Source organism: Homo sapiens, chromosome 14 (assembly GCF_000001405.40).
Source record: "Homo sapiens chromosome 14, GRCh38.p14 Primary Assembly".
Lineage (NCBI taxonomy): Eukaryota > Metazoa > Chordata > Mammalia > Primates > Hominidae > Homo > Homo sapiens.
Window position 1 is genome coordinate 46556350 of NC_000014.9, and position 16160 is coordinate 46572509.

At 34.5% G+C, this 16160-nt stretch overlaps 1 long non-coding RNA gene across 8 annotated transcripts in view; it reads right to left on the minus strand.

Moving 5' to 3' along the window:
- LOC124903309 (uncharacterized) overlaps nt 1-16160 on the minus strand; it is a 98633-nt gene that overhangs the window by 69329 nt on the left and 13144 nt on the right. For 6 of the 8 annotated variants that reach the window (XR_007064146.1, XR_007064143.1, XR_007064142.1 and 3 more), the window contains 2 exons: nt 9291-9388; nt 8017-8156 (listed from right to left, as the gene is read on the minus strand). This is a non-coding gene — a long non-coding RNA (uncharacterized LOC124903309). Of the gene's footprint in view, nt 1-7267; nt 7602-8016; nt 8157-9044; nt 9389-16160 lie in introns of those variants that run through there. The other 2 variants (XR_007064139.1, XR_007064140.1) reach the window with 2 other exon arrangements.

The window sequence follows — 16160 nt, forward strand, 5'->3', positions numbered from 1 at the left end:
CTGATGAAGTTTAGCTTGGTGGGATACGAAATTCTTGGTTAGAATTTCTTTGCTTTAAGAATGTTGAAAATAAACCCCCAATATTTCTTGGCTTGTGAGGTTTTTGCTGAGAAGTCTGCTGTTAGTCTGATGGGGTTCCCTTTGTACATGATCTGGCTTTTTTTCTTTAGTTGCCCTTGAGATTTTTTCTTTAGCTTTGATCTTGAACAGTCTGGTGACTCTGCCTTGTTGGTGTTTGTTTTGTATAGTATCTTGCAGGTGTTTTATGCATTTCTTGTATTCAGATGTCTACCTGTCTATCAAGATTAGGAAAATTTTCTAAAAGTATTCCCTCAAATGTGTTTTCCAGGTTGTTTATTTTTCCTCCTTCTCTCTCGGAAATGCCAATAATTCCTAAGCTTGGTTGCTTTACATAATCACATATTTCTTGAAGATTTTGTTCATTTTTTACAATTCTTTTTTTTTTTTTGTCTAAGTTAGTTTGAAAGATCAGTCTTCAAGCTCTGAAATTTTTGCTGAAATTCTTCAGTTTAGTCCAGTCTATTGATAAAGCTTTCAATTGTGTTTGAAATTCCTCAAGTGAGTTTTTCAATTCCAGAAGCTCTGATTCATTTCTTTTTAAGATGTTTATCTCTTCCTTTATTTCCTGGATTTATTTAGAAGTTCCTTTGTGTTGACTCTAAAACTTGTCTTGGTCTCTTTCAGCTTCGTGCAATTCATGGTTTGAGTTCTTTATCTGTTATTTCTGAATTTCTCTTTTGGTTAGGGACCATTGCTGGAGAGCTAGTGTGATCCTTTGGAGATATCACTACAATCATACTTTTTATGGTGCCAGAATTCTTGTGCCGGTTTCCTCTCATCTGGAGACACTGGTACTTCTGATTTTTGTAATAATTTTTGTTTGGATAGGATTTTTAATTTTTCTTTTTTTATAATATTATTATTTTTTCTTTTACTTTCCCTTTCACCATCCCCTCTCCAGGTGGTGTGACTGTAGAAAATACTGGGTAGGGTATTTTGGCATTGCTTCTATAGCCCTATGAACATCTTTGAGCAGGTTTTATATTAGGCTGTGCAATTCAATCTATAAGCCAGTAGATTGCACTTATAGGTAAGAGCCAGTTGCAGCCAATGTAACTAGATATACACATTTGACTTTTGTTTACTGGGAGAAGCTCTCTATTGCCTCAGTCAGTGGGGTGATCCATGGAGTGTACAGTGGTCTGAGCTACCTGCTCAGCCCTTGGGTGGGGCAGGAGGGGCATAAGATGGGCCAGACATGGCAGGTACCCCAATGGCAGGCACACACACCAGTGCACAGTGAGTATCCAGTAAGCAATGACAGAGCACCCAAAGGTGTGCCTATGCATGGAGACAGAAAAACTTCTTGACTCCAAGGTCTTAGAACAAGCAATGGGAGCAACTTAAACTCTGAGTCCAGGATAGTGTGTGATTCAGATGACTTGAGATTGGCCTATGCATTAAATATAGATGGCCATTCTGCAACACAATCTCTGCATAGGAAAGGTGAGGCAGCCCAGGCTCGAAATCCAGGCAAACAGGTGTTCTGACTGCTTGAGTATGAAGCAGAGAGGGCCCTGCTGCATTACAATCTGTTCAGGAAAAGTGGGGCAGCTCAGACTGCCAATATGGGCAAGGAGGTGATTTGAATGCCTGGAGATCTGCCTGGACTTGGAGTGGAGAAGCCCTTGCCCTACATCAGATTCTCTGCACAGGAAGAGTGGAATGGCTCAGGCTGCTGAACCAGGCAAGTAGGTGCTCTGAATGACTACAGATCTGCCTGGGCATGAAACAGAGAGGGCCCCACTGCACCACAATCTATGCACAGAAGATGGGCCAGACATGGAAGAGAGGGGCAGATTAGGCTTCTGATCAAGGTGAGCAAGTTCTCCAACTACCTGGAGATCTGCCTGGATGTAAAGGCCCCCCTGCACCAATATCTCTGTACAGAAAGAGTGGGGCACCTCAGGTTGCTAGTCCATGCAAGCAGGTGTTCTGAATGCCTAAAGCAAGCATTTAAAAGAACTGAAAAACAAGAGAGAGAAGGATAAACCCCAATAACAACAGAGAAATATAATAGCTTTTCTACACAGAACTTGTAAATAAACTTGGCAAACTTCAAATAGTCTCTGTAATCACATGATTCTGTTTTCTGCTCATCGAAGAGAATTTCTTGCCCCTACTTTCTAAATTAGCAAGCCGTTCCTTGTTATTTCAAACTCTATCACCTTATTTTTCTCTATATTTGTTGTTGGTGCTTATCCTCACCTAACATACTCTACATTCAGTTATTAATTTATTGTTATTAACTACAACATAGTAATTATTAATTTATTGTCACTAGACTCCGAGCTTCATGGAACAGGCAGTTTTTCTGCTGTACTAGCTTCAAAGCCTAGAACAGATATTGGCATAAAATAGTAACTCGATCAATATGTAAAGAATAATTAACCCAACGAAATAATTCATGCATCAGTCTAGAGCAGGAGTTGGAAAATTACAGCCTGGCTCCTGCTTTTGTAAATAAAGTTCTATGGGAATACAGCCATATTCATTTACATATTGTCTATGGCTACTTTCTCACAACAACAACAAATTGGAGTAATTATGATAGACCATATGGCCCACAGAGCTGACAATATTTACTATCTGAACCTTTACAGAGTAAGCGTTCTGTTTTAGAGTCCTAGCACACAAAAAGTCAGAATTTATAATTATAATTCTCATTTTCTAAAAATCATATCACAGATGCAGACTTTTAACTATTTTTACTTTTCAGTACATGTATATATGCTTATGTATTTTTTGATATTTTTCTGAATGCCATATAAATGATATCATAACTTCTGTTCTTCTCTGATATAAATTAATTTTCCCCATGCCTGTTAACTCTTCTTAAGGGGAAGAGCTGTAAGCTAAAAAACAAAATTGTGTAAAATTTCCTAGAAATATGTCTCCAAATTTAGATATAGAAGATGTTTTATTCTAGTTAAAGCACTGCCATTAACTAGATGTGTAATCTTACATCGTGTAACTACCTAGAACGACATATTTTCTTGCCTGAAAAATGTGTTAGATTAATTTTAAGATGTTTCTGGCTCTAAAATTCTTATATTAATGATTATCCATATAAACATTGAGGATATAACTTTTGAGGACAAACAAGAAAGTAGTTCAGTTAAAACAGTTCAATTTATTTGTTCTCAAAAAATTGTAAAACTGAGAAAAAACAAAAGGCATATATTGGTTTAATATTCTTTCTGTATCCAGCTGACAGAAAGAATGTGACAAAGAACTAGACAGGACTGGGATTATAGTTATTGAACTGGACTGATGGAGTCTTGACATTGTACAAATTAAGACTGAATAACTCAGATTTCTGTATTGTACTGTGAAGTATTGTGATTGATTCATCTTGAACTATAAGAGTCATCTTATTTTATTTTTGAAAGTATGTTAAGGAAGTTTGGGGTTCTTGTTATTCTAACAGAATGTCCATTTCCATTTTCAGTTAGTTATTCTGTGGAAGGAATGTGAATGGTATTCATACTGAAGAACGAGATTCCTCCTCTTTTTGACTGAAGACAGTTTAGGGTGAAGCATGAAAATTCTTATTAATGAGAATTGATTTACCCCTGCCAGGTGAAAGCTTGCTAGGTGTGGGGTTTGTAACCTGAGGCCAGGTTGAAGCAGTGGTCACTCTTAATAGAAATCATTATCTATTTGTCCTCCTTCCCCAAGTTTTCCTCAAAATCTTATTAACTGTTATAAATTTATATAACTTGTTTCTGACAGAAGATGTTATTTATGCTTCTGGGGTGCTAAACACTCTCCCCAAGACTACAGAATCAGCTGCATTCACCCATAGAAAAAAAAAGCTTTGTCAGTAGACTTGCTAGCTGGAAAAAGCTGTTACTTTTTCTGTTATACTGTTAGAGAGTGAAGTGTAAGAAACAAAAAAAGACCCATCCCTGGATCAAATCCTGGTTCTATCATTTCTTTCAACTATGGCCAAAGTAGTGGTCAATTCAGTTTCTTCATTTGTAAAGTTAAGATAATAATTATACTTGCTTCATAAGGTTGTAACATATTAGAAGATATTATTGTAAAAATTACGTAGCCTAGTGCCTAGACAAGGCAAGTGCTCAATAACTAAGGTACATATTTTTCCAGTCATTATGATATTTTCTGTAGACAAAATGATTTGTGACTTAGGGATATAATATTCAAGAAACAGGAAGAAAAAACTCTATGGAGTCAGATATGAGACAGCAAACAAGTTTGGCCTGAAAAGAGGGAAGATAAAGCTAGCTATAGACCATTAGACATGGAAGAGAGCAAACAAGTTGAACCTAGGAAAATGCTCTTAAGTATCCAAAACTTGGAAAAAATCAGCAGCACCATTTTGGAAGGCCACAGGAGAGGCCACATATTTTAAGAAATGAGATGTGTTTGACTTTAGATAATGATGTAATGGGGTGTTTAAAAAGTGAAGTGAAGATACAGTAGAGTTTAGAAAATTGCCATTTCAAAAGGATCAAGGGAGCAGTGTTTAAAATTTGGCAATGCAGCAGTCAGAATAGTGTCCAGTTCTTAGCTTTGCCAATTACTAAATGTACAACCATGGATAAGTTACTTAAATTCTCTAAGACATAATTTTCTCACCTGTACAAATGGCAACGATATAATAATATATAAGTTTGTTGGGAAGAGTCAATGAAATAAAAAGTAAAACTTGTTGGTACTGAACTAGTACTCAACAAATAGCCACCATGATAATATTATAATTTTAATAATTATATATTACTCTTATTATCAGTTGCTATTTTCAGTATATTAAGTTTGAGAAGGATAGAATTAGTAGGTTATTACATAAGGAATATGAGGCTCAGAAACATATAAATCAGAGAGTTTATATATGACCTCAGGGACTTATCTGATTGTGTAAATGACAAAGAGATAAAACAGAGTTCAAATATTAGCTTGAGAGTTTCAAATAAAACACTGGTTACTTAAAAAAAAATCCTAAAAGTTGACCATAAATATAAATGTAAACCCTAAGACTATGAAAACTTCTAGAAGAAAACGGGATAGAAAATCTTGGAAACATACGATAGGCAAAAAGTTTCTTAAAACTCAAAAAGCATGAAACACAAAATACAAAAATTATTGCTCTGTGTTACCTACCCGAATGAGTTGAAAACTTTGATTCCCACAAAAACCTGAATACGAATATTCACAGATTTATTTATAATTGCCAATCTTAGAATCAACCAAGATGTTCTTCAGTGGGTGAATGAGTAAACTATAAGACATCCAGAAAATAGAATATTATTCAGTAGTAAAGAGAAATAAGCGATCAAGCTATGAAAAGCAAAATGAGCCAATTTAACAAGCTTACATACTATATAGTTCCAACTATGTGATATTCTGGAAAAGGCAAAACTATGGAGACAGAAAAAAGGTGGAATGGAGAGCGATGACTAGGCAATGCACAGAAGATTTACTCTGTGCAGTAAAAATATTCTGTATGACATTATGATAGTAAACACATGTGACTGGGCATTTGTTCAAACCTACAGAAGGTACAACACCAAGAGTAAACCCTAATGTAAACTATGGACTTTGTGTGATTATGATGTAGATGTACATTCATCAATTGTAATAAATGTACCACTCTGGTTGGGGAAGTAAGTAATGTGTGTGTGTGTGTGTGTGTGTGTGTGTGTGTGTGTGTGTGTGTGTGTGTATAGTGTATTTCATATATATATTATATATACACTATATATATACATATATACCCTATATATAGTGTATTTCTATATCTATATAGCTATATATATATAATGTATTTCAAAGAGAAAATTCTTAGTTATGGTAAAGTCCAAAATATGAATTTTAAAGACATTACTCTTTAAGAGCAGTTTTAGGTTCACGGCAAAATTGAGAGAAAGTTACAGAGATTTCCTATATATTCCCTTCTCAATTTTGCTGTGAACCTAAAACTGCTCTTAAAGAGTAATGTCTTGAAAATTCTATATTGGACTTTATCAAAACTAAGAATTTTCTCTTTGAAATACACTATTAAGAAAATGAAAAGGCAGGTCACATATTAGAAGAAAACATCTCACATATATAAATGAACTTTTATTCATAATATGTAAAAACTCTTACAACTCATAATAAGACAAACATATAATAAAACATAGGTAAAATATTTGAAGAGTCACTTCACAAAAGAAGATATATGAATTACCAAAAGTATATGAAAAGATTTTCAACAACATTTGTAATCAAGGAAATGTGAGATAAAATCATAATGAGACACTACTTCTTTAGAATGACTAAAATAAAACAACACCATTCCAGGTGTTGGTAAAGATATGGAGGAAATAAAACTGGAATTGGTAGGACTGTAAAATGGTACAATCAGTTTGAAAGAGAGTTTGGCAGTTTCTTAGGAAAATAAATATAAACCTACCATACAATCTATTCTGCTTCTAGAAAACAGAATAGAAGCAGAAAAGAAACAATAACATATGTCCACACAAAGACTGTATTTGCATGTTCACAGATGCTTTACTTTTAAGAACCCCAAACTGGAAACAACCCATATGTCCACCAGCAAGTGAATGGGCAAGCAAACTTTGGTATATCCATAAAATGGAATAATACTTTTCAATAGAAAAGTATAAACTACTCATATATTTAACAACATGGATGAAAGTTGAAATTATTATTATTAAGTGATACAAACTAGAGCAAAAATTAAAATGTACTGTGTCATCCCATTTATATAAAATTCTACAAAATGTAAACCAATTTATAGCCACAGAAAACAAATCACCATTTGTCCTGGAACTGGTGTGGAAAAAGACAGGTCAGGAGTGCTTACAAATGAGGGTATGAAAACCTTTGGTGCTGATTGCAGTAATGGTTTTATGAGTTTGTATTAGTCCATTGTCACACTGCTATAAAGAACACTACCTGAGGCTGGGTAATTTATAAAGGAAAGAAGTTTAATTGACTCATAGTTCTGCATTACTGGGGAGGCCTCAGAAAACTTACAGTCATGGTGGAAGGTGAAAGGGGAAGCAGGCACCTTCTTCACAAGGCAACAGGAGAAAGTGAGTGCAAGCAGAGAAAATGCCAGAAGCTTATAAAACCATCAGATCTCACTATCAGGAGAATAGCATGGGGGAAACCACCCCCATAATCCAATCACTTCTCCCCTTTGACAGGTAGGGATTACAATTCAAGATGAGAGATGAGATTTGTGTGGGGACATAGAACCAAACCATATCAGAGTGTATAAGTATGTCAAAACTCAACAAATTATGGCCCTTAAGTATGTGTAGTTTATTGCATTTCAGTTATACCCCAGTAAAGTTTAAAATAAACTTTAGAATTAAAATAATGCAGTGAGAGTCCACTGGACACTCAGTGATACTGGTATCATTGACCTGTTCAGTAAGAGCTGAGTTTGACGTGTGCAAAACCTCCAAGACAAATTGATGTTCAGATACCTTGAATTGTCAGTAGTCTATTCTCTAGTTGCTTTTGTGTGCAGTCTTCATATTCTGAATTTTTTAAAAGAAGATGTTTAGTTGTTTTGTAATCAGAAAAAACATGTCTTCAAGACATAGAAGTTTTCAGTTGTTGCCCCTTTTAGAATACATCATCTACCTTTTTAGAAATTGCTAGAAGAAAAGTATTTCTTATATATTTTGAAAGGAATAAGACTAAAATATTTATGAGAGGACTTTCCCATAAAAGTCCTCACCCATCTTAGAAAATTGCTTGATTTTCCTTCCTCCCACCACAGAAAATGGGTAGAAAAGTGTAATTTATAGTTTCTTCTTTCATAATAATATTGTATACTCCTCATAATTTATGTTCAAATAAATAACACAAGATTTTTTAAGTGTTTTCCTAAATTTTTGATTGAGTTTGTAAAAATATCTGCCTATACAATAGTAATAACTAGGAACTTACCTTAAGAAGAAACTTTCCGTGCCATTCATTGAGAAGTCTACGTGAATGTTGGTAGATTCCTGGAGAGCAGTGGCATGCAGGAAAATCTTTGTGAGCAGCCAGGAAACTAACTGAAGAACAGTGGAAATCAGCTATAGCCACTGAGAATATGAAATCCAACATAAAAAAGTAAAAAAAAAAAAAAAAGATATCTCAGCAAAAACAAACTCTACTAACCGGCATTTGCTGACATTTTCTTAGATAAATACTGTGAAGTATTAATCAGTATGTACTTGGTTGGATTTGGGCTGATTAGAAGCTTTCCTATTGTTTATTTGAAGTCTTATAATCTAGGTTTTTAGTGAGAACAGGTTATAAGGTATTTCTCTATAATTTTAAATATGAGTGGCATTGTTTTTGCATCAGAAAATGGCATCTTGCAGTGGTTAAGAATTTTTTAAAATATTTGCAGGTCTTATTTAACACACACACGTTTTAGCCTCAGTCAGAACTCTTTAATCAAGTATTTTTGGGGCTATTAAGGTTTTAAACATAGTAACTAATACATACATTTAAAGAAAAATAACCACATCATTTGATAAAAGCTATCCCCTGGTTAACAAAAACTCACCATATGAAATGTCTCCATATTTTTCACTTTAAACTACCTGAAGCTTGACAATAAAACTTTTTTTTAAGATTTCATCAATAAGTAAAGTTCTTGTGACTAGGCTAAAAAGTGAAACATATTTTCTGTCCGTGGCTAATTGATTGAAGTGAATAATATCCCTAGTCTGTAGGTGCTCTGTTTCTTCCAATAGAACATTGTACATACAACTTACAGAGCTTCAGGATAATTCACAACCACATTCACAACAATTCGCAACATTCACAATGTCCATGAAACCATTTTAGTTTTTATTTGTCTAGAAAGGGTCTTACTATATATTAGCGGATATGTGCTATTAATAGATGTCATTGGAACTATGTAGAGTCCTGTATTTGGGCATGTGTATCAATCAAGGAAGCAGAAATCATTCACTTTAAAGTCTTAGAAATAGAGGATTTTTAATGAAGGTAAATGATTACACTGAAGATGGAAGAGCCAAGGGACCAAACAAACCCAAAATTATGAATAATAGGAGGTACTACTCTTGCTAGTCCTGTAGGGACAAAAAGCAGATTTTGCTATCAGAGTTGAAAAATCGGAGCCATTTGGCAGAGTTGAGGCCCAGGAAGAGATGCTAGGTGCCACAGCAAATGGTGGGATACCTAAGTTGCTCCCCTACTCTTACCCCTCCCAATTTCCACTGGCGCTTCCTGCTGGTGAACTTCCCACAAATCCAGAAGGCAGTTTCCTGTTAGCAGTGTAGGGCATTGGTAGAGAACAAATCTGAAAGCAAAACAGGTAGTCTATTTAGCCAGCATGCACATGAGAAATGAAGTTAGTACACATAGATGAGGAGAAAAAAAGTAATAAGAATCATAGCATTTGGCTTATATAAATCATATTATGGTATGAATTCTCTTAAGTGCTACAGAAGCATCACAAGCATTGGAAGGGATCAGTGAAGAACAAATTACAATATATACTGCCTCTTTTCTCTGTAACAGGGGTGGCATTAGAAATTAAGCATTACACAACTGCTGGGGTTGGATACCAAATAATCACAATCAGCCTGGGAAAAAAATAAGATTTCTCAATGAGAAATTGTTATTATAACTAATTCTGATAAAATTTGAGATAAGTTGGCCTTATAAAGGCCTTGGCTCCCATTTTTGCAGGCTGTACAAGAAGGTATGGTGTAAGCGTCTGTTTCTCGGGCTTCAGAAAGCTTCCACTTATGGCATAAGGTGAAAGAGAGTAGGGATCATATGGCAATAGAGGAAGAGCATGTGGAGAGAGGTGTCAGGCACTTTATAAGAATCAGTTCTCCTGGGAACTAATAAAGTGAGAACGTACTCTGCCTCCATGAGCCAAACACCTCCCATTAGGCCCCACCTCTAATATTTAGGATCAAAATTTAACATGAGATTTGGAGGGGACAAATGTCCAAACTATATCACTTACCAAACTTAAAATATGTGCTGAAATTAAAGAGACAAATTAATTTTCTACTAAAAATATCTAGAAAATTATTTAATATTTCATGATTCTTTAGCTAGAAATTAACATGATTCATTTTTATTATGTACTTTTTCATATTCTCTTAAAGTGCATCCTGAAAAAAGTGATGAACCTTGTTCAAAATAGTGATATATTTAAAATTTCTTTCAGTAAATTAGGGACCACTTAATTTTGGCCAAGGTTTATAAATTGCTTTGAAATAAAACTACACTTTTCAGGCATAGTGTCTTGGGAAGATTCACAGTTCACAAAATAAATTTCTATTCTCTTCTATTAACTATCTCTAGAAAAGCAATATTTTCACTATGGAATAAGTAAACTGACACATCATTCACCTAGTAATATTATATTAAGGAATATTTTAATGTATTCAGAAAGTTTTTTTTATTTAAAATTGATTAGTTTTATTTTAGGATGTCATCTCTGAAAAGCAAAGAGTTGCATTTATTTGCCTATGGATAAAACAATCCAATCATCAGCTCTTTCAATTATAGGCTAACAAACATGAAGCTATTTGGAGAAAATACTTTCAAAATTTTTCTTCTTGGGTCTAAATAATTGGGGTTGTTTTATTACAATGTAGGTTTAATCTTCCCTTCCACAGATGATTGGCTTGGTCTTCCACTTTTTGCCTGAATGTTTCAGCCCCATCTCTATTCAGCATGTGTTCCAGAAAATGGAGGAAGTTAGTTTTTCTATATAAGTTAAGGCTTGCAAATTAGCGGCCCACAGTTGTGCTGTTTGGCCCACACACAGTGCAGAGGAAAAAATCTTTGATTCAAAGCTAGAAACTTGGGAATTCACACATATACACACACACACACACACACACACACACACACACACACACACAGAGTATATTGCCTGCTAATTTTGAAAAGTCAGACTTGGTTATCCTGTGCCCATATTCCTCGTGTCAACAATTCACTGCTTCTTTGGATTTTATACCGGGTATGCTTTTTCCAGTTCACCAAATTCACTATCACTTTATCGTTGGGTTAGCTCATTCAATGAAATGGGTCAGATATAAGGAGACATTTATATTACCTGCATGCATGATACCCGTATGCATCTGAATTTGCCATCCATGCCATGAGGCAAGATTAGATTATGACTCCAATGTCCTCCAAGCTGATTTTAGGATTCTATTATTTTATAAAAATGGAGTTCTTAATATTTTTTTTTGTAACTTTCATTTTAAGTTCAAGGGTACATGTACGGGTTTGTTACTTGAGTAAACTTGTGTCATGGGAGTTTGTTGTACAGATTATTTCATCACCTAGGTATTAAGCATAGTACCCATTAGTTATTTTTCCTAATCCTCTCCCTCCTCCTACTCTCCACCCTTCAATAGGCTCCAGTGTGTGTTGTTCCCCTCTATGTGTCCAGTGTTTCATCATTTAGCTCCCACTTATAAGTGAGAAAATGCAGTATTTGGTTTTCTGTTCCTACATTAGTTTGCTAAAGATAATGGCCGCCAGCCCCATCCATTTTCCTGCAAAGGAATTTTTTGTTCTTTTTTATGGCTGCATAGTGCTCCATGGTGTATATGTACCACACTTTCTTTATCTGGTTTATCATTGATGGGCATTTGGGTTGATTCTATGTCTTTGCTATTGTGAATAGTGCTGCATTGAATATATGCGTGCTTGTGTCTTTATAATAGAACAATTTATATTCCTCTGGGTATATACCAAGTAATGGGATTGCTGGTTCAAATGGTATTTCTGTCTTTAGGTCTTTGAGGAATCACCACACTATCTTCCACAATTATTGAATAATTAACACTCCCACCAACAGTGTATAAGTGTTCCTTTTTCTCCACAACCTCACCAACATCTGTTATTTTTGGACATTTTAATAATAGCCATTCTGACTGGTATGAAATGGTATTTCATTGTGGTTTTTATTTGCATTTCTCCGATGACCAGTGATGTTGAGCATTTTTTCATATGATTGTTGGCCACATGTATGCCTTCTTTAGAAAAGTGTCTTATCTGTGTTCTTTGCCCAGTTTTTAATGAGTTTTTTTTCATGTAAATTTGTTTAAATTCCTTATAGATGCTGGATGTTAGAGCTTTGTCAGATGCATAGTTTGCAAAAATCTTCTCCCATTCTATAGGTTGTCTGCTTGTTGACAGTTTCTTTTGCTGTGCAGAAGCTCTTTAGTTTAATTAGATCCCATTTGTCCATTTTTGCTTTGGTTGTGATTGCTTTTGGTGTCTTTCTCATGAAATCTTTGCCCATGCCTATGCCCTGAATGGTATTTCCCAGGGTGTCTTCCAGGGTTTTTATAATTTTGGGTATTATATTTAAGTATTTAATCTGCCTTGAGTTAATTTTTGTATATCATGTAAGAAGGGGGTCCAGTTGTAATCTTCTGCATATGGCTAGCATGATATCCCAGCACATTTATTGAATAGGGAAGCCTTTCCTCATTGCTTGTTTTTGTCAAGTTTGTCAAAGATCAGATGGTTGTAGGTTTGTACTCTTAATTATGTGTTCTCTATTCTGTTCCACTGGTCTATGTGGCTGCTTTTGTACCAGTGCTATGCTGTTTTGGTTATTGTAGGCCTGTAGCATAGTTTGAAGTCGAGCAGCATGATGCCTCCAGCTTTGTTCTTTTTGCTGAGGATTACTTTGGCTATTTGGGTTCTTTTTTGATTCCATATGAATTTTTAAATAGTTTTTTCTAGTTCTGTGAAAAAATCCCAATGGTAGTTCAATAGGAATAGCACTGAATTTATACATTGCTTCGGGCAGCATGGCCATTTTCACAATACTGATTCTTTCTATATATGAGCATGGAAAGTTTTTCCACTTGTTTGTGTCATCTCTGATTTCTTAAGAGTAGTCATTTGTAGTACTCCTTGCAGAGATCTTTCACCTCCCTAGTTAGCTGTATTCCTAGGTATCAAGTAGGATTTATCCCTGGGATGCAAGGTTGGCTCAACATAACACAAATCAATAAATGTGATTCATCACATAAACAGGACTAAAGACAAAAAACACATGATTATCTAAATGGATGCAGAAAAGGCTTTTGGTAAAATTCAACATCCATTCATGTTGGGGCCTTTGAAAGATAATTAGTTTTAGATGACATCATGAATATGGGGCCCTCATGATGGAATTAGTTCTCTTTTAAGAGTGCCAGAGCATTCTCTCTCCCTCTCTCTCTCTCCTCCCCTCTCTTTACCATGTGAGAACCCAGCAAGAAGGAAGCCATCTTACTACTCAAGAAGATACCACTCACCAGAAGATCTCCATGCTGGTGCCTTTATCTTGGACTTCCAACCTCCAGAAATGTTAGAAAGTAATTTTCTGTTATTTAAGCTACCCAATCTATGGGATTGTGCTGTGGTAGCCTGAGATAACTAAGACACCAAGTGAAAATGTCTTTCAAAAATGGATGTAAAATAAAGACATTCAGTTACACGAAAGTGGATATAATCTGTCACCATCAGACTCACACTACAAGAAATGCAAGAAATGCTAAATGAAATCCTTCAGAGAGATTGGATAAAAAGCAAGACCAGAGTATATGGATCCTTTGGGAAATTCACTTCCAACATAAAAAAACACAAAAATGATTAAAAGTAAAAAGATAATAAACAATATACTATGAAAACACTAAATAAAATGAATTTTCAATGGCTATATTATCTTCAAAGTAATTTTAAGAGCAAAGAACATTACCAGAAATAAAGAAGTTTGTTTCATAATGATAAAGGGGTCACTTTAAGAGGCTATAACAATCCCAAACAATAATGCATCTCATTATGCATAAACCAAAATCAGATGGCTCTGCAAGTAGAGATAATCAAATCCACAGTTTTAGATAGTAATTTTAACATTTTTCTCAATAACTGACAGAACAAATAAAAAATTAGTTAAGTATACCACTTCACCTAATTTACATTTATACAGCACTGCAGCCTAGGACAGCAAAATACACATTTCTACAGTATATATAGAATATTTACAGAGGTAGATAAGATTTGGGGGCATTTAAAAAAAGCCTCAATCACAACTACAAAAGGACAAAAGGAATATCTTGGGAGCGATGGATGTGGTTATTATCTTGATTGTGATTATGGTAAAATGAGTATATATACATATATATATATGTATATATATCTCAACATTTACCAAATGTTCATTTTATGTGTTGGTTATTTTTCATTTATATTTCAATTTTATCTAAATATGGTTGTTTTAAAAATATGATTTTTAACCAGTTTGTAATGATGTGAAAAAAACTCTTAGGAAAAATGGCAAAATCTAGTTGTTCCACAAAGTGTTACATTACCTTTCATTGTTCTTATACTACTTACTCATAATTTATTGGACATTGTTTGCACTATCATTACACAGGAAATATTCTAAAGTGTAATGCAAACCAATTAAGAAAATACATAGTAATAATACTATTAAATTAAGGTAAATATGGACAACAACAACAAAGGACCAATATTGACTTGGGACACCATTCGCTGTTTCTCGTCTACTGTAATAGGTCATATTCTTCTTAAATAATGGTCAATAATTTTCCTCACTTCATCCTCCAGCCTTGATACTTGTCTCTTTTCCTTACCTATGTGTCTTACTGGTGATCAAGAACCATAAATCTCAAAATAGGAACGTTCGTGAAACAGACATTCTCCTTTTTAAAATTTTTGATCCGTGATCTAGGCAAAGTGCCTATTACTGTTTACACAGATTATAATAGTTTAAATTGTCTTCAGGTTTCTACATTGCTTAGGGCATTTCACATCTCATATCATGTGTCTTTGCATTTTTAAACTTTGGTTCTCTATTGTCTTCCAATTTAAAGATACAATCTTCAGCTTGACATTCAAAGCCCTTCAAAATTATACAACTACCTATGACAACCATATTCTATTCACATGTATTCAAAACTCCAGTAAAAGCAAAGTATTCACAATTTCCTACACATTTTAGTATTTTCCTACCTAGTATACTTTATTCATTCTTTCCCTTCATATCTCTTTCTGTTGAGAGTCTATGTCTCTGTTACCCATTTCATAATACTTTCATAATTCTCCCTATTAATAGTAGTATTTCCTTCTTATGAATTGTCATGTGTTGGTCACGAATTTACTACAGACTATGCCTTGCATTAAAGTTCTTTTCAGTTGTTTTATATACCTCGTGTTACATCCTTTAGAGCAAGAGCAAGGACTCTGCTATGTTTATTTCTTTATTTACCAAACTATCAAGCACAAAGCAATGTACAACAGATTGCCAAAATTTTGTTAGGTTGATGTTAATGATTGTCATTTCAGTGATGAATCATAAAATGTGTTACCCTCGAATTTTGCTCATGTTTCCTTTTATTTCATTATCTCTTTTGTGCAGTACTGTCTCATAGATTTTGTAATCAGTATTTGGCTTAGATATCTGGTCCTACCCTTAGAAGATGTATGACATTAATTGGATATGGCCTAACCTCTTTTTACTTCTTTTTCCAGGATATGCCTTCAAATAAATCCACTGAGAAATAGAAGAAAAAAATAAGGTCTAGAAATGTGGTTAGAGGCTAACCACATCATATGTTTGCCTATTAAGTATAGAGATTCTTGATGTATTTCTTAATATATAGATAATTGTGAGTATGAAAACCACAAAAGCTTATGACTTCATGCCAGGATTCAACCATACGGGTTAAGCTTCACACAATTTGCCGATTAGCTCCTGTTTAAATACTGGATGAGTTCATCACTGCATTTTTCAGAGGGAGTGAGTCATCTCAAAGATACACATAAATATTACTTTTACTGTTGCTTATATTCTCCAGAAAATAGCTGAATCCTCCAGAAAAAAATACCTTTAGCAAACAACTGACTGTATCATTTACCATACAAAGTAGCTGTATGTAAACTATGTTTGGACTCTACAAGGGAAATATTCTCTTGTGTTAATTAGTATCCCAAAGACATTAGAAGAATTTTCAGGTGGAAGGGAGAAGTTGATCAAAGAGTTTCATTCTTTCCTCATGAACTTCTTTGTTTAC